Genomic DNA, 25,757 nt, shown 5'->3' with positions numbered 1-25,757 from the left:
GTGAGGTGGATGGTCTTGTCTTTTATTATTTTATTTTATTTATTTTTATATTTTAGGAGACAGGGTCTTATTCTGTTACCCAGGTTGGAATGCAGTGGCACAATCATAGCTCACTGTAGCCTTGAACTCCTGGGGCTCAAGTGATCCTCCTACCTCAGCTTCCCAAGTAGCTGGGACCACAGGTGTGCACCACCATGCCTGACTTTTTATTTTTTTGTAGAGATGGGGTATTGCCATGTTCCCCGGGCTGGTCTCCAGCTCCTGGCTCAAGTGATCCTCCCTGTTTGGCCTCACAAAGTGCTGGGATTACAGGTGTGAGCCGCTGCTGGCCTTGGCCTCATTTTAGAGCAGGGACCTCGGAGTGCAGAGGGGTGAACTGCTTGCTGATGGTCACAGACAGACCTGCGGCTCCAGCTCCTGCTCCTGCTCACATGTTTTTGGGTGTTGAATGAGGCCACCAGGGAGGGAGCCTAGGCTCTGGTGTCACTGAGTAGCCTGGTACATGTTCTGTCCCCCCAGCCACCTTGCTGGCTCTGTGACCTTGGGCAGGTCATCACCCGCTGGGCCTCCAATTTCTGCATCTGTAAAATGAGATCACAAATGTACCTACTTACAGTGTTTTTAGGAACAAAGAGATGGTCTATGAAGTGTCCGGTAGACTTCCAGACACCAGCACTGTATGAGGGCTCCAATCTCCAAGTCCTTGCCAGTACTGGTGACTGCCTGTCTTTGTGATTATAGCCATTGTGGTGGGGGTGGTGACATCTCACTGTGGTTGAGCATCTTTTTTTTTTCTTTTTTTTCTTATTTATTTATTTATTTTGAGATGGAGTCTTGCACTTGTCGCCTGGGCTGGGGTGCAATGGCGTGATCTCGGCTCACTGCAACCTCTGCCTCCCAGGTTCAAACGATTCTCTGGCCTCAGCCTCCCGAGTAGCTGAGATTACAGGTGCCCACCACCATGCCCAGCTAATTTTTTGTATTTCTAGTAGAGACAGGGTTTCACTATGTTGGCCAGGCTGGTCTCGAACTCCTGACCTCGTGATCCACCCACCTCGGCCTCCCAAAGTGCTGGGATTACAGGCATGAGCCACTGCGCTCAGCCTCTATTTTTTTTTTTGAGACAGAGTTTCACTCTTGTTGCCCAGGCTGGAGTGCACTGGTGTGATCTCGGCTCACTGCAACCTCCCCCTCCCGGGTACCAGTTCAAGCAGTTCTGCCTCAGCCTCCTGAGTAGTTGGGATTACTGGCACGCACCACCACACCCAGCTAATTTTTGTATTTTTAGTAGAGACGGGATTTCACCATGTTGGCCAGGCAGGTCTCGAACTCCTGACCTCGTGATCCGCCCGCCTCAGCCTCCCAAAGTGCTGGGATTACAGGCGTGAGCCACCATGCCTGGCCTGGCCTCTTTTTTTAATTTTTGAGATGGAGTCTTGCTTTGTCACCCAGGCTGGAGTACAATGGCGCTATCTTGGCTCACTGCAACCATCACCTCCTGGGTTCAAGCGATTCTCCTGCTTCAGCCTTCCGAGTAGCTGGGATTGCAGGCACACACCACCACACCCAGCTAATTTTTGTATTTTTGTATTTTTAGTAGAGATGGGGTTTCACCATGTTGGCCAGGGTGGTCTCGATCTCCTGACCTCATGATCCACCTGCCTTGGCCTCCCAGAGTGCTAGGATTCCAGGCGTGAGCCACCGCACCCGACTGAGCATCTTTTCAGGTGCTCATTGGCCATTTCTGCATCTTCTTTAGATAAATGACTATTCAAATTTTTTGTACATCTTTAAAATTAGGTAATTTGGCTTGTTTCAGTGGCTCACGCCTGTAATTCCAGCACTTTGGGAGGCCGAGGTGGGTGGATCACTTAAGCTTAGGAATTGGAGACCTGCGCTCATGTGATCCTCCCACCTCAGCCTCCCAAAAGTGCTATGATTACAGGCGTGAGCCACTGTGCCCAGCCTGGTCTCACTTTCTTGGTGGTGTCATTTGCAGCACAGCAGTTTTAAATTTTGATGAAGTTCAGTTTATCTCTTTTGTTATGTATTTACTTATTATTTTTAGGTATAAGGTCTTACTCTATCACCCGGGCTGGAGTGCAGTGGCACGATTGTAGCTCACTGCAGCCTCAACCTGGGCTCAAGTCATTCTGCCACCTTGGCTTCTTGGGTAGCTGGGACTACAAGCATGAGCCACCATGCCTGGCTAATTTTTTATTTTTGTTTTGTAGAGGCAGGATCTTGCCGCGTTGCCCAGGCTGGTGTCCAAATCTAGCCTCGAGGAAACCCTCTCACCTCAACCTCCCAAATTGCTGGGTATTTTGTTCTTTTGTTGCTGTGCTTTTGGTGTCATATCTAAGAAGTCTTTGCCTGGGCCGGGCACAGTGGCTCACGCCTGTAATCCCAGCACTTCGGGAGGCCGAGGCGGGTGGATCATGAGGTCAGGAGATTGAGACCATCCTGGCCAACATGGTGAAACCACGTTTCTACTAAAAATACAAAAAATTAGCCGGGTGTGGTGGTGGACGCCTGTAGTCCCAGCTACTCGGGAGGCTGAGGCAGGAGAATGGCGTGAACCTGGGAGGCGGAGCTTGCAGTGAGCCGAGATCGCGCCACTGCACTACAGCCTGGGCGACAGAGCAAGACTCCGTCTTAAAAAAAAAAAAAAAGAAGTCTTTGCCTATCCCAAGGTCATGAAGATTTATGCCTATATTTTCTGCTAAGAGTTTTGTAATGGTAGCTCTTGCATTTAGGTCTGTGATCAGTTTTGAGTTAGTTATCATATATGGTGTGAGGGAGGGGTCCGGCTTCATTTTTTTTTGAGATGGAGTCTCACTGTGTTGCCCAGGCTGGAGTACAATGGTGGGATCTTGGCTCACTGCAACCTCTGCCTCCCAGGTTCAAGTGATTCTCCTGCCTCAGCCTCCCAAGTAGCTGGGATTACAGGCATGCACCACCACGCCTGGCTAATTTCGTATTTTTAGTAGAGACAGGGTTTCACCATGTTGGTCAGGCTGGTGTCGAACTCCTGACCTCAGGTGATCCATCCACCTCGGCCTCCCAGAGTGTTGGGATTACAGGCATGAGCCAGTGCGCCCAGCCATGCCTCATGCTTTTGAAGGTGGGTACCCAGTTGTCCGTCATTAGACGTGTTCTGGGTGCACCTGTGGTGTGCTCCTCCCATGATAGGCAGCAGTGGGAAGCCACAGCTCTCTAAGGGAGTGTTTGTTTTAGTTTGGGAGAAGCCTGTGAATGAGACAGGTTGAGGAAGGTTCAAAAAGGAGAGTGAAGCCAGTTGTAGGAGTGTGAAGGAAGGAAGGACTGATAGACCCTTAACCGGGGTGGGAAGTACTTCATTGTTGAAGTGGGGTTTGAACTGAGCTTGGAGCCTGGAGAGAACTGATTTCAGAAATTCTCAGTAATCAGGACCAGGGGGTTGGGTCTTCCGAGACTGGTTTCCTTTTTTTTTTTTTCTTTTTTCTTTTTGAGACCGAGTCTCGCTCTATAACCCAGGCTAGAGTGCAGTGCCATGATCTCGGCTCCCTGCAGCCTCTGCCTCCTGGGTTCAAGTGATTCTCGTGCCTCAGCCTTCCAAGTAGCTGAGATTACAGGCATGTGCCACCACAGCCAGCTAATTTTTGTATTTTTAGTAGAGACAGGGTTTCGCCATGTTGGCCATGCTGGTCTCGAACTCCTGAGCTCAGGTGATCTGCCCGCCTTGGCCTCCCAAAGTGCTGGGATTACAGGTGTAGTCCACCACATCCGGCCTAGTTTCTTTTTTTTTTTAAACAGGGTGTCTTCTGCTCCCCAGGCTAGACTGCAGTAGCGCAATCATAGCTTACTGCAGCCTTGAACTTCTGGGCTCAAAGGACCCTCCTGCCTCAGCTTTGGAAGCAGCTGGAACTACAGATTCACACCACCACGCCTGACTGGTTTTTTTTCTTTTTTTTGGTAGAAATAGGGTCTTGCTGTGTTGCCCAGGTTGGTCTCAAACTCCTGGGCTCAAGTGATCCTCTCCAGCCTCAGCCTCCCAAAGTTCTGGGATTGCAGGCGTGAGCCAGTGCCCCGCTACAAGACTGTTTATACTTTGCTTCAAGGTAGAAACACTGAGACCATTGCAGGAAGACAGCAACCTTCTTCTCTGACTGTAGGTTGGTTGTTCTGACGATGCGGCAGTGTTTCCTCACCTGGGTTCCTCCTCCTGTTCTCCTGGGGGAAAAGGTTGTAGCTGAGAATTGGCAGAGAGGCCGTGGTGGAGGAGGGAAGATTCTCTGCTTTGTGCGGAGGTCACTCTCGGGACTCAGTGTGGCAGGGTCTGTTGACTACGTTCTCTTTGTGTCAGCAGCTTTTGCTTGGTGCTGTGGCTGACTGAGGCGCGGTCCCCATCACCATGAGACCTCACAGGTGCTGGGAGGGCATGCGGCTGTTGCCCTGCCTCGGCCACCCTCCTGGCCCCAAATTAAGTTATATGGCTTTCTTGCTCACGTGAATTAAATTATTTTCATTCATTCAGCAGATGTTTATTTAGCATCTATTATGTGCTGGGCACTGTTATTTTTCTTTTCTTTTCTTTATTTTTTGAGACAGAGTCTCATTCTGTCACTGAGGCTAGAGTGCAGTGGTGTGATCTCGGCTCACTGCAACTTCTACCTCCTGGGTTCAAGAGATTCTCGTGCCTCAGCCTCTGGAGTATCTGGAATTACAGGCATGCATCACCGTGCCTGGCTAATTTTATTTGTATTTTTAGTAGAGACCGAGTCTGACTGTGTTGTCCTGGCTGGTCTCGAACTCCAGGCCTCCAGTGATCCGCCCATCTTGGCCTCCAAAAGTGCTGGGATTACAGGTACGAGCCATTGCACTGGCTTTATTTATTTATTTTTTCATTTATTTAGAGGCAGAGTTTTGCCCTTGTCGCCAGGCTGGAGGGCCGTGGTGTAATCTCCGCGCACTGCAACCTCCACCTCCCAGGTTCAAGCGATTTTCCTTCCTCAGCCTCCTGAGTAGCTGGGATTACAGGTGCGCACCACCACGCCCGGCTAATTTTTGTATTTTTAGTAGAGGTAGGGTTTCACCATGTTGGCCAGGCTGGTACTGAACTCCTGACCTCAGGTGATCCACCCGCCTCAGCCTCCCAAAGTGTTGGCATTACAGGTGTGTGCTATCACGCTGGCCTTATTTTTATTTTTTGAAATGGAGTCTTGCTCTGTTGCCCAGGCAGGAGCGTAGTGGCTCGATCATGGCTCACTGTAGCCTCCGCCTCACCCTCCCGAATAGCTGGGACTATAGGTGCGTGCCACGGTGCCTGGCCCGAATGGCTTTGTTATACCCACGTGAACAGTACTACGTTTTACTAACAGAAAAGCATCAAATGAGACTTTTCTTCCGAAACTATGTTCAGAGAGTGACTGCAGTATTGCCTTGGCAATCTAGTGAATGTATCCTCACCGCATTAAAAAAAAGAGAAAAACAGAATTTTTGCTTCCTCTCTGAGGATTGGGAATATGGAACGGTGGTTATAACGTAAAGGGAAAAGCATCTAGATGGAACAGTGAACTAATGGATCGCAACTGTGTTAAAAGAGGCACAGTCCTCCTGGAATGAGGGAAGACGGACGGAAAATGCTGAATGTTGGCTCGTGTGCGAGGCAGCTGGAGCTCTTGCTGGTGGGAGTGTGAATTGGCTCAGTCACTTTGGAAAACTGAAATATTTACCAAGCTGAACATATGCAGATCCCGTGATCCAGCAATTTCACTTGTAGATATGTTATGGAGCCAACAGAAAGGCACACATATGTCCACCAAGAGCCACGTGCTGGAATGTTCGTAACAGCACCGTGTGGAACAGGGAGGTGCTGGAACCCTCCCAGATGCCCCGCAGCAGAGGGAGGAGGAGGCGACGAGGACACATAGTCACGCAGCGGCGCCCACCACAGGGGCAGCCATCGCCCCACAGCCACGTGCACAACAGGTCTCGCAGCCTGATGCTGAGGGAAAGACGTCAGGAACAAAGGAACTGACTTTCGACCGTGGTTACATAATATAAAAACAAGCCAGGTGCAGAGGCTCACACCTGTAATCCCAGCACTTTTGGAGGCTGAGGAAGGAGGATTGCTTGAGACTCGGAGTTGGAGACCAGCCTGAGCAACATGGGGAAACCTCATCTCTACAAAAAATAACGAAAATTAGCTGGGTGTGGTGGCATGTGCCTGTGGTCCCAGCTACACTCAGGAGGCTGAGATGGGAGGATTGCTTGAGCCGGGGACGTCAAGGCTACAGTGAGCTGTGACTGCATCACTGCACTCCAGCCTGGGCGACAGAGTGAGACCCTGTCTCAAAAACAAAAACCCCAAAACAGGCAAACCCCCAAAAAACCCCTGAGCTTGAGAAGTCAGTGGTTACTCTTGGGGTGGTGACAGGTTCTGAGTGGGCATCGATGCTAATTCTGCTGTTGCTTCTCTGGGTGCGATGGCCCTGGGGCACTCATGTAGAAAACTCACTGGGCTGCGCAGTCGAGAAACACCTGCCTGGAAACGGTACCCATCAGCTCTAGAAAGCACTCACTTTGAGTAGGGAAAGGGAGAGGAGGGGAATGACGTGTGTCTGTAATGTGTGTGTGTGTATTTTCACTGTAAATTTAATATATCCATGACAGAAATTTATCTCTGGATGCCATAAAAATATTCACTAAGATTTTCTACAAAGACAGTATCTGAATTTTTTTTTTTTTTTTTTTTTTTAAGACAGTCTTGCTCTGTCGCCTAGGCTGGAGTGCAGTGGTGCGATCTCGGCTCACAGCAACCTCCACCTCCGCCTCTCAGGCTCAAGTGATTCTCCTTCCTCAGCCTCCCGAGTAGGTGGGATTACAGGCACACACCACCCTGCCTGGCCAATTTTTGTATTATTAGTAGAGATGGGGGTTTCACCATGGTGGCCAGGCTGGTCTCGAACTCCTGACCTCAGGTAATCCACCCGCCTCAGCCTCCCACAGTGTTGGGATTACGGGCGTGAGCCACTCTGCCCAGCCAGTACCTGAATATTGAACTGTAGGCTCCGTGGATGGTCCAGAACACATGACAACACCACCAGTGTGTTCAAAAGCACAGTCAGCCACACAGCCACACTGAAGAGTATAGCCAAGTTGAAGGGTTTTTCCCAGAACACCATGAAGCATAGTTCTTTTTTTTTTTTTTCTGCTCGCCCAGGCAGGAGTGCAATGGTGTTATCCTGGCTCACTGCAGTCCCAAAGTGTTGGGATTACAGGCATGAGCCACTGCGCCCAGCCTCTATATAGAGTTTTTTTGTTGTTGTTGTTGTTTATTTTTGTTTTTGTTTGAGACGGAGTCTCACTCTGTCGCCCAGGCTGGAGTGCAGTGTGGTGCGATCTCAGCTCAGTGCAACCTCCACCTTCTGGGTTCAAGCGATTCTCCTGCCTCAGTCTCCCAAGTAGCTGGGACTATAGGTGCCCGCCAGCATGTGTAGCTAATTTTTGTATTATTATTATTTTTGAGACAAAGTTTTGCTCTTGTTGCCCAGGCTGGAGTGCAATGGCGTGATCTCGGCTCACTGCAACCTCTGCCTCCCAGGTTCAAGTGATTGTCCTGCCTCAGCCTCCCTAGTAGCTGGGATTACAGGCATGCGCCACCACACCCGTCTAATTTTTGTATTTTTAGTAGAGATGGGGTTTCTCTATGTTGGCCAGGCTGGTCTCGAACTCCTCACTCAATGGATCCACCTGCTTCAGCCTCCCAAAGTACTGGAATTACAGGTGTGAGGCACCCCGCCTGGACAATAATCACTTTTAATATTTTTTTCATCAGTCTTTTTTTTTTGAAACAGAGTCTTGCTCTGTTGCCCAGGCTGGATTGCTTGAGCCCAGGAGTTTGAGACTAGCCTGAGCAACATGGCGAGACCCTATCTCTATGAAAAATTATTATTATTATTATTTTTGAGACAGAGTCTCACTCTGTTGCCCAGGCTGGAGTACAGTGGTGCAATCTCGGCTCACTGCAACCTCTGCCTCCTGAGTTCAAGCAATTCTCTGCCTCAGCCTCCTGAGTAGCTGGGATTACAGGTGCCCACCACCACGCCTGGCTAATTTTTGTATGTTTAGTAGAGATGGAGTTTCACCATGTTGGCCAGGCTGGTCTTGAACTCCTGACCTCATGATCTGCCCACCTCAGCCTCCCAAAGTGCTGCGATCACAGGTGTGAGCCACCTCGCCTGGCCAAAAAATTAATTTTTTAAAAATATAAAATCTATAAAAAATTTAGGCTGGTTGCGGTGGCTCATGCCTGTAATCCCAGCACTTTGGGAGGCTGAGGCATGGATCACGAGGTCAGGAGATCGAGACCATCCTGGCTAACATGGTGAAACCCCATCTCTACTAAAAATACAAAAAATTAGCCGGATGTGGTGGTGGGCGCCTGTAGTCCCGGCTACTCAGGAGGCTGAGGCAGGAGAATGGCGTGAACCCCGGGAGGTGGAGGTTGCAGTGAGCCGAGATCGTGCCACTGCACTCCAGCCTGGGCGACAGAGCAAGACTCCATTAAAAAAAAAAAAAAATTATAAAATAGCCCGTATGGCACATTACAGCTTTATGCACATGGAAAGTAATATGCAAAAATGAATATAGATGTGTACAGGTTGTAGGGATGGAGTGAGTTTATTTCAAAATATCTTAATGTTACATCACATTAAATAAGGTATTAAAAATAAACCTAAAGGTTAATGAAATTGAGGCTATGAAAAGTTTCTGTTTAAAGTATACGACCTAGGCTGGGTGAGGTGGCTCTCGTCTGTAATCCCAGCACTTTGGGAGGCCGAGGCAGGCGGATCACCTGAGTTCAGGAGTTCAAGACCAGCCTGGCCATCATGGTGAAACCCCGTCTCTACCCAAAATACAAAAATTAGTCAGGTGTGGTGGTGTGTGCCTGTAATCCCAGCTGCTCTGAAGGCTGAGGCAGGAGAATCGCTTGAACCTGGGACTTGGAGGTTGCAGTGAGCCGAGATAGCGCCACAGCATTCCAGCTTGGGAGACAGAGCAAGACTCCCTCTCAAAAAAGAAAAAAAAAAAAAAAGTTACTGTTTAAAGTATACAACCTAGGCTGGGTGCTATGGCTCACGCCTGTAATCCCAGCACTTTGATAGGTTGAGGTGGGAGGATTGCTTGAGTCCAGGAGTTCGAGACCAGCCTGGGCAACATAGTGAGACCCCCCCGCATATCTACAAAAAATACAAAAATTAGCTGGGCATGGTGGTGCACACGTGTACTACATTTATAGTTCCAGCTACTTGGGAGGCTGAGGTGGGAGGATTGCTTGAGCCCAGGAGGTCCTGGCAACAGTGAGCTGTGATCGTGCCACTGCATTCCAGCCTAGGCAACAGAGAAAGATCCTGTCTCAAATAAAAAAAATAGAAAAAGAAAGTATGAGACCTGTATGGCAGTTAGCGCAGTAGTTAGGGGAGCTGTCTTGGGCATGAGAGGATCATGGGTGAAGTGTGTTACCTGTAACAGAAGCATCTCTATTTCTCCATGTTCGAGGGGCGTTCCTGCTGTTCCCTGGCCACAGAGCTGCCAAACTCTCATGTCTAATGCCATGGCTATAATATGGATCAGGAAACTTCTGCTTCCATTTCCTGAGAACAGTTTGTTAATTTCAGAATAACATAGTAGCTTAGAGAAAGTTTTTTTGTTTTGAGACTGAGTCTCGCTCTGTTGCCCAGGCTGGAATGCAGTGGCGCGAACTTGGCTCACCGCAACCTCTGCCTCCCGGGTTCAAGCAATTCTCCTGCCTCAGCCTCCCAAGTAGCTGGGACTACAGGCGCCCGCCACCATGCCTAACTAATTTTTTGCATTTTTTTTTTTTTTTTTTTGAGACGGAGTCTTGCTCTGTCACCCAGGCTGGAGTGCAGTGGCGCCATCTCGGCTCACTGCAACTTCTGCCTCCCGGGTTCACGCCATTCTCCTGCCTCAGACTCCCGAGTAGCTGGGACTACAGGTGTCCGCCACCACACCCGGCTAATTTTTTGTATTTTTAGAAGAGATGAGGTTTCATCGTGTTAGCCAGGATGGTCTCGATCTCCTGACCTTGTGATCCGCCCACCTCAGCCTCCAAAAGTGCTGGGATTTACAGGCGTGAGGCACTCCGCCCAGCCAAGAAGTTTTAATTAATTTACTTATTTATTTATTAGCCGACTCAGAATGTGTAAGTAGAGAAGGTTTTAATCCAGGGTAGAAAGTGTTTATGAGCGGAAGAAGGAATATTCACATTGAAAATTGAAGACATCTGCGGACTGTCTTTCATTTGATTTCAGTGGAAAAGGTGTAGTCTGACTTGTCGTTTTTCATTCTCCCCATCCAGATGAAGAAATAAAAGCAATAGGCCAGGCACAGTGGCTCACGCCTGTAATCCCAGCACTTTGGGAGGCTGAGGTGGGCGGATCACAAGGTCAGGAGATCGAGACCAGCCTGGCCAACGTGGTGAAAACCTGTCTCTACTAAAAACACAAAAAATTAGCTGGGCATGGTGGTGTGCACCTGTAGTCCCTGCTACTCAGTAGGAGGCTGAGGCAGGAGAATCGCTTAAACCCGGGAGGCGGAGATTGCAGTGAACTGAGATTGCACCATTGCACTCCAGCCTGGGCAACAGAGTGAGACTCTGTCTCAAAAAAAAAAAAAAAAAAAAAAAGGAAATAAAAGCAGTGTTTATGAACACCTGATTTCCATTCTACTTCGGGGGCGGGGTCAGGACAAGGGATCGAATTCCTTCTCTCTGTTGCCCTATGACAAGGGCTTTCAAACTGTGGCCCCTGACCAGAAGCAGCATCTGGGAACTTGTTAGAAATGCAGATTCCAGGCTGGGTGTGGTGGCTCACGCCTGTCATCCCAGCACTATAGGAGGCTGAGGCGGGTGGATCACCTGAGGTCAGGAGTTCGAGACTAGCCTGGACAACATGGTGAAACCCCATCTCTACTAAAAATACAAAAATTAGCCGGGCGTGGTGGCGGGTGCCTGTAATCCCAGCAATTTGGGAAGCAGAGGCGGGTAGATCACTTGAGGTCAGGAGTTCAGGACAAGCCTGGTCAACATGGTGAAACCCCATGTCTCCTAAAAATGCAAAATTAGCCAGGTATGGTGGCACATGCCTGTAATCCCAGCTACTCGGGAGGTTGAGGCATGAGAATCGCTGGAACCCTGGACACTGAGGTTGCAGTGAGCCAAGATTGTGCCACTGCACTCTAGCTTGGGTGACAGAGTAAGACTCCGGCACCCCCTCCAAAAAAAGCAGATTCCCAGTCCCCACCCCAGCCCTCCTGTTGGAGAGACGCTGGGAGTGGGCCCAGCCCTCTGTGTTTGAAGGAGCCCACCAGGTGATTCTGATACGCACCCACTTTGGGGAATTTAGCCCTGGGACGCTGTGCCATCCTTGCTGGTCCTGATCTCCCCTCCGTTCTAGGGAACTGGCAGCTGGGGACAGCAGCCGTGTGTCGTGGAAGAGCAGGGAACTTGGAGTCCATGGGAATGCGCATTCAGGTCCTCCCTGCCACTAAACGGGACAGTAGGAACCACACTCGTGGTCTCCTTGGGAAGGCCCCTGCCCTGTCCTGGCTCTGAAAGCACCGGCCCTGAAGGCCTCTCCATCGGCACGGGGAACCCCAGGGAGTGCCTGGGCGGCGCGGACCTGGAGCTGGGGGTGTGTGTGAGTGCTCAGTGTAGCCCCACGCTGGGTCAGCAGGAAGTAGTGTGCGGGCCAGTCCGGGGCGGGCTTGGCCTCCAGGCAACAGCTGCAGCTGTGCTGCTTGGGACCCTCCAGTGTCTGTCCCGTGCCACCTGCGCCGAGGCTGGCAGGGCCTGTGACTTCTGCTGAGGTCAGCATTTGCGAAGGTGTGCTTCAATGAAGGGGGAGCGTCTTTGCATGGGGTTTGTCGGTAAATCCTGTTTGTTTGTTTCTTTTTTTTTTTTTGAGACGGAGTCTGGTTTTGTCGCCCAGGCTGGAGTGCAGTGGCGCGATCTCTGCTCACTGCAAGCTCCGCCTCCCGGGTTCACACCATTCTCCTGCCTCAGCCTCCCGAGTAGCTGGGACTACAGGCTTCCGCCACCACGCCCGGCTAATTTTTTGTATTTTTAGTAGAGACGGGGTTTCACCATGTTAGCCAGGATGGTCTCGATCTCCTGACCTCGTGATCCACCCGCCTCGGCCTGCCAAAGTGCTGGGATTACAGGCGTGAGCCACCATGCCTGGCCATGCCCAGCTAATTTTTGTGTGTTTAGTAGAGATGGAATTTCGCCACGTTGGCCAGGCAGGCCTCAAACTCCTGACCTTAGGTGATCCACCTGCCTCGGCCTCCCAAAGTGCTGGGAATTCAGGCGTGAGCCACTGCGCCCGGCCAATCCTTTTTTGTTTCTAAAGCTGCGGTCTCTGGGGTGGGAGGCCCGAGATGTCAGCTGTGAAAAGAATGTAGTGCTCACCTGCTCTGTGTTGTTACTGTCTGAAGTTCCTGGTGAAAGACACTGGGCGGGAGATGGGTGTGTGTGTTTGAAGTTTCGTTACCTTCTGATTTGTGGATAACTCGCTTGGAGATTCACAGACTTGTGAGGCTGAAAGGATCTTGAATGTTGCTTGTGGGTTGTTTCCCCTTTTTTTGTTGCAAAGAGGGGTCACAGTGGGCCGGCGGCTGACTTGGGCCTGACTTTGCCCCTCACCGCATGCCTGGTTTCTGTGACAGCTGCCCAGCCCCCTCTCACAGTTTATCTTTGCAAGTGCAGCATCCAAGTGTGACTCCCACACATTGTGTGGAAGGCACCAATTTGTGAGCCAGTCTGGGAGCTGACCGCCACCGAAAACTTGCTGAGAGGGGAATGCATTCTGAGTTTTAGTGGGTAGATCTGCAGAATCTTTTCGGATTGGAGCGTGGTAAATCTGGAAGGAAGTCAGGGACACTTATTGAATGTTTTCTATTTGCTAGTTATTTTCAGCTCTCCCACCTCACTGAATTCTGAGGCCCTTGGCCTGGGATCTGAGGGGCTGCTTCCCTCCCAGGGTCTCACAGATAGTGAGCGGCATTTCAGGGGCAAGACACTTCCAAGTCCAGGTTCCGGGTTGGGTCTGAAGCCCACAGTGAAGCAGTTTGGTGCCAGAAGGGTTGGAGTGGGGAGGGGCTGTCGTTCGAGGGGCCTGTGGGGGGTTGCTGTAGTATCAGGGCATAGATGGCGATGGCCAGGCCCAGGGGTGAGGGCATCCTTACACCCACCGCACGGATTTGAACAGTAAGCTCAGAGGCGGCTGCGTGCTAGGCCACAAAGCTAGGAAATGATGGAGGCTGGATTTCAGCCAGGATCTCTCTGAGCCAGATCCCATCCTGCGTCCACAGCCTTTCCAGCTGGGGGCCAAGCTGGCCTCCCTCATCTCATCTGTTTTCTCTCTGTGGGACTGGGTTAGTTTAGGGTGTATTGTCCAGGCTCTGTGTCTTATGGGCTGTGTGCACTGCTTCAAGGGGTGTCAGTTTGATAGAGTATTGAAGTTCCATTAGTGAGCATAACGTTTATTCCTGCAGAAAGCCGGGCTCCTCCTCCTGGTGTTTCTGCCCGTTCTGCAGTGTGTGGTCCGTCACCTGGCAGTGTACCCATTTGAAATGATGTTTTTTTTTTTTTCCTTTTTGTTTTTATAGACAGGGTCTTACTCTGTCACCCAGGCTGGAGTGCAGTGGCCCAATCTTGGCATACCGCAGCCGTGAACTCTTGGGCTCAAGCAATCCTCCTGCCTCAGCCTCCTGAGTAGCTGGGACTACAGGTTGCGCCAACATGCCCGTAATTTTATTTTTTGTAGAGATGGCATCTTATTATGTTGCCCAGGCTGGTCTTTAACTCCTGGGCTCAAGTGATCCTCTTGCCTCAGCCTCCCAAAGTGCTGGGATTGTAGGTGCTAGCCATAGTACCTGGTCTTTTTCTTTCTTTTTCTTAATTAAAATTTATTTTGCAAATATGGGCATCTGGCCGGGCGCGGTGTCTCATGCCTGTAATCCCAGCACTTTGGGAGGCTGAGGTGGGTGGATCATTTGAGGTCAGGAGTTTGAGACCAGTCTGGCCAACATGGTAAAACCCTGTTTCTACTAAAAATACAAAAATTAGCTGGGCATATTGGTGCACGCCTGTCATCCCACTTACTCTGGAGGCTGAGGCAGCAGAATTGCTTGAACCCGGGAGGTGGAGGTTGCAGTGAGCCAAGATTGTGCCATTGCACTCCAGCCTGGGCAACAGAGCGAGACTCTGTCTCTCAAAAAAAAAAAAAAAAGGGCATTCTAGTTTAGTAAATTGATATTTGAAAGCATAGCTTTCTAATGATTGGAACTTGTACATAGAAGTTATTGAGATGTTTGAGACAATCGAGAGTTAAAGAAGTGTCTTTGATTTAAAATGTGTTTTTTGAGCTCTTTCAGATTCTCATGCAATCAAAGTTCAAATTCTTCACCAACATGTGACCACTTGGTAATCATTACTGAGTTTACATTCTTTCTTGGAAGATTATCTTATCTTAATAATCAGGAAAATCATAAAAATTAATACATGCTTAATAGAGAACACTTATTTTAAACTTTTTTTTTTTTTTGAGACAGAGTCTCTGTTGCCCAGGCTGGAGTGCAGTGGCGTGATCTGGGCTCACCACAACCTCCGCTTCCTGAGTTTAAGTGATAATTTTCCTGCCTCAACCTCCTGAGTAGCTGGGATTACAGGTGTGCGCTAACATGTAAAAAACAAAAAAAATGAGAAACACTTTTTTTTCTATTTAGAACTCACTTTGTATTAAAAACCAAACTGACTTTTTAAACATTATTCCTTGTTTTGGTTTTTTCTTTGCAAGCTGGGCGTAGGATCTCTGATTTGCTTTTGCTGCTTTGTGCAGGGTGCACGGTGACTTCTTGTCTGTAAGGCAGCTGGAGTTTTCTGGCTTAATTCTTCCGTGCATGTGGTTGGGAGTCCTAGCTATAAGCAGGCCTGGAGTTTTTTCTCTTTCTTTCCTCCCTTCTTCTCTCCCCTCCCTCCTGTCTGTCCAGATGACTTTTTGGCATATGAAAGTAATGTGTTCACTGTGAACACACTGGGGCATTTAGAAGATCGTATGGCTAGTTTATTTGGTTTGAGCCTGTTCTCTTGGCTCTAGAGAAAAGGAAGATTCTTTTTCACACAAAACTTGTACATATTTCACTTTGTTTTCCTTCCCCAAGGTTAAGACTGATTTGATGTAGTCACAGAAATGTGGGTGTACTTGCTGATTCGTGAGCAGGTGGAAGCCTTCCAGGGAAGAGTTTTTTTTTTTTTTTTTTCTTTTTTTTTGAGACAGGGTCTCACTCTGTTGCCTAGGCTAGAATGCAGTGGTGCAATCATGGCTCACTGCAGCCTCCGCCTTCCCGGACTCAGGTGATCCTCTCACCTCCCGAGTAGCTGGGACTGCAAAATTAGCCAGTGAGCCACCACGCATGGCTAATTTTGTATTTTTTGTAGCGATGGGGTTTTGCCATCTTGCCCAGGGTGGTCTTGAACTCCTGAGCTCAAGCGATCCTCTTGCCTCGGTCTCCCCAAGTCCCAGGATTACAGGCGTGAGCCATGGTGCCTGACCACCATGATTTTTTTGAACAAAAGGACGTGCCCGCAGCGTCGACTCTGTAGCATGAGTGAGTGGGTCCAGCGTTGACTCCGTAGCATGAGTGGGTGTAGTGTGAGTGAGTCCAGCGTCGACTCCGTAGTGTGAGTGAGTCCAGCGTCGACTCCGTAGTGTGAGTGAGTCCGGCTTCGACTCCGTAGTGTGAGTGAGTCCGGCTTCGACTCCGTAGTGTGAGTGAGTCCGGCGTCGACTCCGTAGTGTGAGTGAGTCCGGCGTCGACTCCGTAGTGTGAGTGAGTCCGGCGTCGACTCCGTAGTGTGAGTGAGTCCGGCTTCGACTCCGTAGTGTGAGTGAGTCCGGCGTCGACTCCGTAGTGTGAGTGAGTCCGGCTTCGACTCCGTAGTGTGAGTGAGTCCGGCGTCGACTCCGTAGTGTGAGTGAGTCCGGCTTCGACTCCGTAGTGTGAGTGAGTCCGGCGTCGACTCCGTAGTGTGAGTCCGGCGTCGACTCCGTAGTGTGAGTGAGTCCGGCGTCGACTCCGTAGTGTGAGTGAGTCCGGCGTCGACTCCGTAGTGTGAGTGAGTCCGGCTTCGACTCCGTAGTGTGAGTGAGTCCGGCGTCGACTCCGTAGTGTGAGTGAGTCCGGCGTCGACTCCGTAGTGTGAGTCCGGCGTCGACTCCGTAGTGTGAGTGAGTCCGGCGTCGACTCCGTAGTGTGAGTGAGTCCGGCTTCGACTCCGTAGTGTGAGTGAGTCCGGCTTCGACTCCGTAGTGTGAGTGAGTCCGGCGTCGACTCCGTAGTGTGAGTGAGTCCGGCGTCGACTCCGTAGTGTGAGTCCGGCTTCGACTCCGTAGTGTGAGTGAGTCCGGCGTCGACTCCGTAGTGTGAGTGAGTGAGTGTGGCTGGCTGACGATGGGACCTGTTGCATGACGTGGCCAGAGTCCATGTGCTGAGCTAGCACACAGCAGAGGGAGGCTGCACTTTTCAATTTATTTTATTTTTTGTACAGATGGGGTCTCACCATATTACCTAGGCTGGTCTTGAACTCCAGGGCTCAAGTGATACTCCCTCCTGGGCCTCCCAAAGTGCTGGGATTACAGGGCTGCGCCACTGTGCCCAGCCAAGGCTCCAGCTTTTGAGCAGCTATTCTCACTGGTCATTCACCATCTCCCCTGCAGATCTGCCGACACCCCAGGCCATCGAGCCCCAGGCCATCGTGCAGCAGGTCCCAGCCCCCAGTCGAATGCAGATGCCGCAGGGGAACCCGCTGCTGCTGTCCCACACCCTGCAGGAGCTGCTGGCCAGGGACACCGTGCAGGTGGAGCTCATTCCGGAGAAGAAGGGCCTCTTCCTGAAGCATGTGGAGTATGAGGTTTCCAGCCAGGTAACTGGCAAATTGTGTGTGTGTCGGGGCAGGAGGGGGAAGAAAGGGTCACGTCTCAACATCTCAGGGCAGGAGTGGTGTGACAGGAGAAGGCTGAAGGGTGAGTCTGTGTGGCTGGCTTACAGGCAAGATCCAGAACTCGCAGCAGAGTCAGGCTGCGGAGGTGACTTTTCCACACCTCTGCTCCCCGCACCTCACTCTGGCCCAGCCACGTCCCCACCTGGTCACCCCTGGTCCAGTTTGTCCTCCCCACCACTGTGCTCTGGAGTCCTGTTTCTTTTTTTTTTTTCCCCGATGTGGAGTCTTGCTCTGTCGCCCAGGCTGGAGTGCAGTGGCATGATCTCGGCTCACTGCAAACTCTGCCTCCCGGGTTCAAGCGATTCTCCTGCCTCAGCCTCCCAAGTAGCTGGGATGACAGGTGCCCGCCACCACGCCTGGCAAATTTTTTTGTATTTTTTTTTTTAGTAGAGACAGGGTTTCACCATGTTAGCCAGGGTGGTCTTGATCTCCTGACCTTATGATCCACCCGCCTCGGCCTCCCAAAGTGCTGGGATTACTGGCGTGAGCCACCGCGCCCGGCCTGGAGGCCTGTTTCTTAGGAATCTCCCGCGGACGGTCCACAGAGCACAAAGCGGGATCCACACCAGCCTCGCTTTGTAATAGTGGGAAACCCCCGAGGATTAGAATGTCAGCCCCATCGACTCCGGACCCCAAACAGTGAATGAAATTTGCATGGCAGGATCAATATGTGTCACTCTAATCCCCTTTAATAACACGGCCCTCCTGTTGCTGGGCATCCCGATATTGGGCAGGTGAGACACAGACACCGAGTGCCTGATGCCCGTCTGGAGCAACACCGTGGCTCTCTCTGTCCCTTGCTTCGTTGTCTCAGTTCCATTACGACAGATTCTGATGGGAGTTTTCATTGTTCATCCTGGGCATTGAGTAATTGATGAGCTAACACTGTCCTTGGGAGGTGTGGAGTCAGCAGGGCTTGTGGGATTCGCACAGACAGAGCAGGGCCCACTCCTGTGTGGGAGAGGGCGGCCCTGGCCCAGCCCCGGCCGGACGGCACTGCCAGGGGCTTGTTTGAAAAGCGTCATGAGCAGATGGTCCTGGGTAAAAGTTGTGTCTTTTTGTTTGCTTGTTTTTAAAGAGACAGGGTATTGCTCTGTCAACCAGGCTGGAGTGCAGTGGCACGATCATAGCTCACTACAGCCTCAACCTCCCAGGCTCAAGCAACCCTCCCACCTCAGTCTCCTGAGTAGCTGGAACCACAGGCGGATGCCACCACACCAGGCAGTTTTTTAAATTATTTGTAGAGATGGGATCTCACTATATTGTCCAGGCTGGTCTTGAGCTCCTGGGCTCAAGTGGTCCTCCTGCCTTGGTTTCCCAAAGTGCTGGGATTACAGGCGTGAGCCACCATGCCCAGTCTTTTTTTTTTTTTTTTTTTTAAAGTACAAATGGAGACTTGCTATGTTGTCTCAGCTGGTCTCGAACTCCTGGGCTCAAGCAGTCCTCTCACTTTGGCCCGCCAAAGTGCTAGGCTCACAGGCATGAGCCACTGCACCTGGCCTTAAGGACAAGCGAGCCGGTCTCCCCTCCCTGCCGTCTGCTCTGCTGTGCTTCACTGTGTTCCAGAGCCTGTGGCCACACGGTCCGAATGGTTGTCAGTACTGCTACCAAAGGACAAAGCGGGTCAGAGGGGAGGACTCCCTTGGAGGACCGTGTCAGAGCCGCCTTGCTGTCTGGCTTTGCCGTGGTTCCCGGCCCTCTGGGCCGCAGTCGGGGATGTGGACCAGCTGGTGGGATGCCACGGGGGAGCAGAGCGAGCCACCCCTTCCTTCTGGGGCCTGGCAGCCTGGGGGTGAGGCAACTCTGAGCGTGTGAGACGTGCCGTTGCCTGCCAGGGAGCCAGCGGCTGGCCTTTTGTCCAGTCTTACTAAGCTGCCCGTCCCTTAAGTAAATTCATTGCCACATAGGGAACATTTGTCAAGGGGGCAGTTTGGTCACCCTGATGTGTGTGTAACGGGCCAGTCACTGACCAGGTGGGAAGCCACTATGCTTCATACCATTTGTTTAGTTTTTTTTTTTTTTTTGAAATGGAGTCTCGCTCTGCCGCCCAGGCTGGAGTGCAGTGGCGTGATCTCAGCTCACCGCAAGCTCTGCCTCCCGGGTTCACGCCATTCTCCTGCCTCAGCTTCCTGAGTAGCTGGGACTACAGGTGCCCACCACCACGCCCGGCTAATTTTTTGTGTTTTTAGTAGAGACGAGGTTTCACCGTGTTGGCCAGGATGGTCTCGATCTCCTGACCTCATGATCCGCCTGTCTCGGCCTCCCAAAGTGCTGGGAATGCAGGCGTGAGCCACCGCGCCCGGCCTTTTTTAATTTTTTTAAGACAAGGTCTCGCTTTGTCGTCCAGGCTAGAGTGCAGTGGCACGATCTTGGATCACTGCAACCTCTGTCTCCAGGGTTCAAGGGATTCTCCTGCCTCAGGCTCCAAAGTAGCTGGGACTACAGCCGCCCACCACCATGCCCAGCTAATTTTTGTATTTTTAGTAGAGATGGGATTTTGCCATGTTGGCCAGGCTGGTCTCTTTAACTCCTGACCTCAGGTGATTCACCCGCCTCAACCTCCCAGAATGCTGAGATTACAGGCGGGAGCCACCGCACCCGGCCTAAGAGCTATACAAAGTTTAAAAGTTGTATTTCCATATACGAAGCCGTCACAGGGTTTCTCCATTTAGTAAAGGCCTGGTGAGAGAAGATGCACTTGGTGCTGTCGTTTTCCCGGGCTCTGTTGAGGGGAAGTGACGCGACAGCATAGTTTCCAACGTCGGATCTAAGCACCGACCCTTCTCTTGCAGCGCTTCAAGTCCTCGGTATACAGACGGTACAATGACTTCGTGGTCTTCCAGGAGATGCTCCTGCACAAGTTCCCCTACCGTATGGTGCCTGCCCTGCCACCCAAGAGAATGCTGGGAGGTAAAGCCAGGCGTGCTGCCCACCGGGGGCGGAGGGAGCGAGCCCATCTCCTGGACCCTGTGGTCCTGGCTCAGGGATGGACCCCACTGTAGACCGGGGCAGGTGCAGGGCTGCGGGGGAAACTCCAGCCTTTTGGCATCTGGGACAGAGCTGTGGCTTGAGCCCAGCCTTGGTGCAGGCAGGGAGACTGGCACCCGGCAGCCTTGGCCCACCAGAGCCTTCAGCTGCATGACTGACAGGTGGGGAAGCCCTTGCTGTGCAGGTGTGAAAGAGAACCCTAGTTCTCCTCTCCAGAGTGCAGTGGCCAGGGCTCCCGAGAGCTCCCGAGAGGGCTGCCAGGAGCACTGTGTGCTCACCTGGCTGGCATTGCCCTGCCTGCATCTGCAAAGCCATGGCAGCCTGAGCCATGGGCACCATGGGAGCGCTCGGTGGCCTCATGGAAGAGAACTGAGTTGTGCAAGTAGGAAATGTCAGCTGCATCTTGCAGGAGAGAAAAAGCAGCACACGGCTGCCTCACCTTCACCTCTCTGCCTGAAGATGGCCTCGGGCCAGGTGGGAGATCGCAGACGACCTCAGAGCTGCTCCCCAGGCCTGTGTCCCCCTGGGCTGCAGAGCTTGGGATGGCGGCTGCCAGCTCTGATCTCACTGGTGGTCTCTCCCTCAGCCCGTTCCTCAAATTCTGAATAAAACATGCTGGGGAAATGAGTGCTTAGAGCTGATCATGGCTTTCTGCCGTTCCCAGCCCTTCCACAGTCACCGTGTCCTGGACGGGGACGCAGCATGGGAGCTAACACAGTCGCCAGTTCCCCGCATCTGAAATCGTACGATGATGCATAAATGCTTCTGCCTCTCATCGGTCACTGAGCAAGCAGCCCAGGGTCTGATGATGTGATTTTCACCCCGCCGCATGTGAAGGCCACAGAGCAGATCATTCAGCTCACGCTGAAGGGCACACGGGCGCTCAGGGCAGCAGAGAGCAGAGGACGCGACAGGGATGTGTGATGCTGGCTCAGGCCTGGGCATCCGAGTTGATGAGCGCTGGCTGGCGTTCAGCGCCTGGAAACTGCACACGCGCGCTGGGCCGCTTGCGCATTTAAGGAAGTGCAGCCTCATCGGAAGAGGCCTGCCAGTGCTGAGCCAGGAGGGAGCCCCAGCCACCTACCTGTATTGTTTGTTTTCTTTCTTTTATGGTGTTTTTTTTTTTTTTTTACATGGAGTCTCGCTCTGTCGCCCAGGCTGGAGTGCAGTGGTGCAATCTCGGCTCATGGCAAGCTCCGCCTCCCGGGTTCACGCCATTCTCCTGCCTCAGCCTCCCGCGTAGCTGGGACTACAGGCGCCCGCCACCACGCCTGGCTAATTTTTTTGTATTTTTAGTAGAGACGGGGTTTCACCGTGTTAGCCAGGATGGTCTCAATCTCCTGACCTCGTGATCCGCGCACCTCAGCCTCCCAAAGTGCTGGGATTACAGGTGTGAGCCACCGCACCTGGCCTCTTTTATGGTGTTTTTTGTTTTTGTTTTTGTTTTTGAGACGAAGACTCGCCGTGTCACCCAGGCTGGAGTGCAGTGGTGCGGTCTCGGCTCACTGCAAGCTCCGCCTGCCGGGTTCACGCCATTCTCCTGCCTGAGTCTCCCAAGTAGCTGGGACTACAGGCGCCCGCCACCACGCCTGGCTAATTATTTTTTTTTGTATTTTTAGTGGAGATGGGGTTTCACCGTGTTAGGATGGTCTCAATCTCCTGACCTCATGATCCACCTGCCTCAGCCTCCCAAAGTGCTGGGATTACAGGTGTGAGCCACTGCGCCTGGCCTCTTTTATGGTATTTTTCAGAGACAGGGTTTCGCTACGCTGGCCAGGCTGATGTAGAACTCCTTGGCCTCAAGTGATCTGCCCTCCTCAGCCTCCCAAGAGGCTGGGATTACAGGTGTGAGCCACACTCCTGGCTGTATTTCTTAATACATTAAAAATAGTATTTAAAGGCTGGGCGCTGGTGGCTCATGCCTGTAATCCCAGCACTTTGGGAGGCTGAGGTGGGCGGATCACCTGAGGTCAGGAGTTCGAGACCAGCATGACCAACATGGTGAAACCTCCTCTCTAATAAAAGTATAAACATTAGCCAGGTGTGGTGGCGGGTGCCTGTAATCCCAGCTACTTGGGAGGCTGAGGCAGGAGAATCGCTTGAACCTGGGAGTTAGAGGTTGCAGTGAGCCGAGATGACACCACTGCACTCCAGCCTGGGCGACAAGAGTGAAACTCCGTCTCAAAAAAAGTATTTAAATACCATTTTTGTTTGTGTTCAGATTGAAATGTCCTGAATGCATCAGTATATGCTTTTACTTTTTTTCCCCTTGGAGTGAAAATATTTAACCCGAATGAAAGCAATGAGTAATTGCATCCTTTGCAGAGTAAGTTATAAGCACAGTGAATAGAAAAACTCGGCCGGGCGCGGTGGCTTACGCCTGTAATATCAGCACTTTGGGAGGCCGAGGCAGGTGGATCACCTGAGGTCAGGAGTTGGAGACCAGCGTGACCAACATGGTGAAACCCCATCTCTACTAAAAATACAAAAATTAGCCAGGCATGTTGGCGGGCCCCTGTAATCCCAGCTAATTCCAGAGGCTGAGACAGGAGAATCGCTTGAACCTGGAAGGCGGAGGTAGCAGTGAGCCGAGATTGCGCCACTGCACTCCAGCCTGGGCAACAGGAGCGAAACTCTGTCTCAAAAAAAAAAAAAAGAAAAGAAGACCTGGGTTGCGTTAGTGTTAGAGCGTAGCAAAACCCATTTGTTTGCAGTGAGAAGTGCCAGGAGGGGATTATGGAAGATGTCTTTAACGGAGGTGATTAAAGTGACCACTCACGTGGTTCCCAGGACTCCCGATGGAAACAAGCAGATCTGTGGTTTTCCTTGGCAGCTCCTGGACCCAAGTGTGTGTGGCTGGAGGGGGCCTCTGGGGGTGAGGTTATTGCTCTGGGCGGCCTTTTCAGACCCATTGTCTGAGCAGCACTGGGGGCCCAGCCAGTGCCCTCTGCTAGCCGCTGGGCCCTCTGCCACCTCTAGGGAGAGTTTTGAGAACTCGCCCAGAGCAGAAGATGGGGGCCGGCGCCCTGGACTCTGTCCAGTGACCCCGTGTGCTCCTCCAGCTGACAGGGAGTTCATCGAGGCCAGGAGGAGAGCCCTGAAGCGCTTCGTCAACCTGGTGGCGCGACACCCCCTGTTCTCCGAGGATGTGGTCCTCAAGCTCTTCCTGTCCTTCAGCGGCTCGGTGAGTGTGTCTGCCCTGCCCATGTCCCGGCCCCGGGGAGTCCCCGAGCCTCCGGACCCGCCTTTTCCTCTCTCAGGTGTGGTTTCTTATCCTCCTGGTCCCTTGTTTGGACGCCCAGCAGGAATGACATGGACAAGACTTCTTTCCTTTCCAGATAACAGTCTGAATGTGATTTTCAGAGGTGTCCCTGGTGTTGACTTTGCAGGATTTTGTAAATCCGCGTGGAGATCATGGATCTCTGTGGTCACTTTGAGGATTTAGGCTGGATGGTTTGGAGGGTTTAGGGAGGTGCCAGAGACTCCAGATGGGAAGAAGTGTTGACTTAAAACAAGGCCCTGTCTGACTAAGGACCACTGGAACACAGGCTGAGCCTCCTTGTCAGAGCCACAGCCCACACCTGCATCCGGGAATTAACTTGTTGTACATGCACTCCGTCAGAGGTCTGAGTGGGGCTTCCCTCCTCCCAGCTGCTGCGGCACAGCCTTATTGTGTGTCAAGAAGCTACAGTTCGCAGGTACAGTGGCCCACGCCTCTAATCCCAGCGCTCGGAGAGGCCGAGGCTGGATGGTCCCTTAAGCCCAGGCGTTTGAGACCAGCCTGGACAACATAGCGAGACTTCGTCTCTACCAAAACAAAACTGAGGCCAGGCATGGTGGTGCACACCTGTAATCCCAGTCACTTGGGAGGCTGAGGCATGAGAATCGCTTGAACCCAGGAGGTGGAGCTTGCAGTGAGCTGTGATTGTGCCACTGCACTCCAGCCTGGGCGACAGAGTGAGACCCTGTCTCAAAAAAACAAAAAACAACCCTGCAGCCCAGCTCCTGTTTCCTGGAGGAGGAAGCAGCTGCCAGCCCCTCCAGGGAAGGCGGGTCCTGTGCTTCTCCTCCACCTGTGCCTGCAGGACCCTCTCCCTGTGCGGGGAGGGGCGGGGGCTCCACTGGAATAGAGGTTTCCAGGCTCTCCTCTATTTCAGGGAAACCCCGTCTTGAATGGGGACCTGACGGCCTCTGTCCTTGTCCCTGCTGCAGGAAGACACCCCCTCTCCCAGGCTGACTTCACACAAGCCTTGGTTCCTTTTGTCTTCGTTCCTCTCGGAGGCAGAGGGGCCTTCCCCCTGTGCCTGAGATGTCCCTGGGATGCCCCCGGGGATGTCTGGAGCAGGCAGTGGGATCTTTTGAGCCCTGGGGTTGGAAACCTTCCTTTGGAGGCGATCTGCATTGCCAGCAGAGGAATGTGGCAGGACCTGGGAGGGGCGGTGGGCAGGGGTGCAGTGGGTCACAGGTGGGCAATATCCCTGTTCTGGGGGCAGGACGTTCCCTGTGGCCTTCCCACAGGTATCATTCTCTGTCACTTCCCGGCCTCAGTTTTCTTGCTTGCTTTCTGTTTTTAGAGATGGGGTCTCACTATGTTACCCAGGCTGGCCCTGAACCCCTGGGCTCCAGCGATCCTCCCGCCTCAGGCTCTGAGTAGCTGGGACTACAGGCACGCACCATGCTGGGCCTCAGGTCTTTTTTTTTTTTTTTTTTTTTTTTTTTGTAAAATGAGAGTTGAGTCAGATGATCTTTAAGGCATCTCTGAAACCTGAGAATTCCTGGACACGCAAACAGCTGCATATTAGGGTTTCCCCTTGTATCTCCTGGGTGGCTCCTGACTTTAAGGCACGGCTTTGCCCAGGAGGCCTCTTTCAGATGAGAGGGCTCCGGTGCCAGGGGCTGGGCCTGTCCCTCTGCCCAGCAGCTCCCTGGGCTCTGGTGTCCCTGGCGCCATGGATGCATTCCCAGGAAGGAAGACACTTTTGCCCTGTTCTATTGCGTTTTTGGAAGCTACCAGGGTCTCAGGTATCTCTGGGGCTGACGCCGCCCCGGGTCTGTGGATGGAGGGGCCGTTTCTCTGCAGAGCCGCCCCTGGTCTGTGGATGGAGTGGCTGTTTCTCTGGAGAGCTGCCCCCCGTCTGCGGATGGAGTGGCTGTGCCTCTGGAGAGAGGCTGCAGGTTTGTGGTGCTCCTGCTGTGAAGCCAGGCTGTCCTGTTTGGTGAGAAAAACATCTAAGGGAGAGTCAAGAGATTGCAGAATACTAATGTCAAAGCCAACATATGGAAATGTGTTTCTCCTGAGGAAAGACGACCTCCCGCTCCACAGTGACCCATACCCCACAGCAGCTTTCTTGCTGCTAGTAGAAGAGGGTGAAGCTGTGTGTTTTCCTTTTGCAGGATGTGCAGAACAAGTTAAAGGAGTCAGCACAGTGCGTCGGGGACGAATTCCTGAACTGTAAGCTGGCTACCAGGGCCAAGGTATTTTTCTTTTTTTTTTCTTTTTTTTTTTTTTTAATTTATTTTTTTATTGATCATTCTTGGGTGTTTCTCGCAGAGGGGGATTTGGCAGGGTCATGGGACAATAGTGGAGGGAAGGTCAGCAGATAAACAAGTGAACAAAGGTCTCTGGTTTTCCTAGGCAGAGGACCCTGCGGCCTTCCGCAGTGTTTGTGTCCCTGATTACTTGAGATTAGGGAGTGGTGATGAC

The 25,757-nt window shown here is 52.0% G+C and overlaps 1 protein-coding gene and 1 pseudogene across 5 annotated transcripts in view, besides 6 other annotated features; one reads left to right on the top strand and one right to left on the bottom strand.

The window, feature by feature from the left end:
• Positions 1-25,757, top strand: part of SNX8 (sorting nexin 8) — a 102,728-nt gene that overhangs the window by 59,411 nt on the left and 17,560 nt on the right. For all 5 annotated transcript variants that reach the window (XM_017012084.3, NM_013321.4, XM_011515329.3 and 2 more), the window contains exons 2-5: positions 16,782-16,987; positions 19,858-19,975; positions 23,116-23,237; positions 25,448-25,528. In XM_017012084.3, coding sequence (XP_016867573.1) covers positions 16,847-16,987; positions 19,858-19,975; positions 23,116-23,237; positions 25,448-25,528 — 462 coding nt within the window. In that variant the 5' untranslated portion in view covers positions 16,782-16,846. The remainder of the gene's footprint in view (positions 1-16,781; positions 16,988-19,857; positions 19,976-23,115; positions 23,238-25,447; positions 25,529-25,757) is intronic.
• Positions 5,877-5,996: an enhancer, noted in NCBI's record as "active region_25520". NCBI's record gives its function as "activates an Ori minimal core promoter by ATAC-STARR-seq in GM12878 lymphoblastoid cells {active_cell/tissue: GM12878}" and the evidence as "EXISTENCE:reporter gene assay evidence [ECO:0000049][PMID:35858748]".
• IMMP1LP3 (inner mitochondrial membrane peptidase subunit 1 pseudogene 3) lies at positions 6,659-7,172 on the bottom strand (annotated as a pseudogene).
• Positions 7,127-7,176: an enhancer, noted in NCBI's record as "active region_25519". NCBI's record gives its function as "activates an Ori minimal core promoter by ATAC-STARR-seq in GM12878 lymphoblastoid cells {active_cell/tissue: GM12878}" and the evidence as "EXISTENCE:reporter gene assay evidence [ECO:0000049][PMID:35858748]".
• Positions 7,217-7,276: an enhancer, noted in NCBI's record as "active region_25518". NCBI's record gives its function as "activates an Ori minimal core promoter by ATAC-STARR-seq in GM12878 lymphoblastoid cells {active_cell/tissue: GM12878}" and the evidence as "EXISTENCE:reporter gene assay evidence [ECO:0000049][PMID:35858748]".
• Positions 22,592-23,200: an enhancer, noted in NCBI's record as "H3K4me1 hESC enhancer chr7:2311522-2312130 (GRCh37/hg19 assembly coordinates)". NCBI's record gives its function as "activates a minimal SCP1, AML or CMV promoter by ChIP-STARR-seq in primed H9 embryonic stem cells {active_cell/tissue: H9 hESC(primed)}" and the evidence as "EXISTENCE:reporter gene assay evidence [ECO:0000049][PMID:30033119]".
• Positions 23,201-23,810: an enhancer, noted in NCBI's record as "H3K4me1 hESC enhancer chr7:2310912-2311521 (GRCh37/hg19 assembly coordinates)". NCBI's record gives its function as "activates a minimal SCP1, AML or CMV promoter by ChIP-STARR-seq in primed H9 embryonic stem cells {active_cell/tissue: H9 hESC(primed)}" and the evidence as "EXISTENCE:reporter gene assay evidence [ECO:0000049][PMID:30033119]".
• Positions 24,420-25,030: an enhancer, noted in NCBI's record as "H3K27ac-H3K4me1 hESC enhancer chr7:2309692-2310302 (GRCh37/hg19 assembly coordinates)". NCBI's record gives its function as "activates a minimal SCP1, AML or CMV promoter by ChIP-STARR-seq in naive H9 embryonic stem cells {active_cell/tissue: H9 hESC(naive)}" and the evidence as "EXISTENCE:reporter gene assay evidence [ECO:0000049][PMID:30033119]".

The sequence above is a fragment of the Homo sapiens genome, chromosome 7, assembly GCF_000001405.40.
Source record: "Homo sapiens chromosome 7, GRCh38.p14 Primary Assembly".
NCBI lineage: Eukaryota > Metazoa > Chordata > Mammalia > Primates > Hominidae > Homo > Homo sapiens.
The sequence above is the reverse complement of the archived record's forward strand: the minus strand, read 5'-3'. Positions and strand labels throughout refer to the sequence as shown.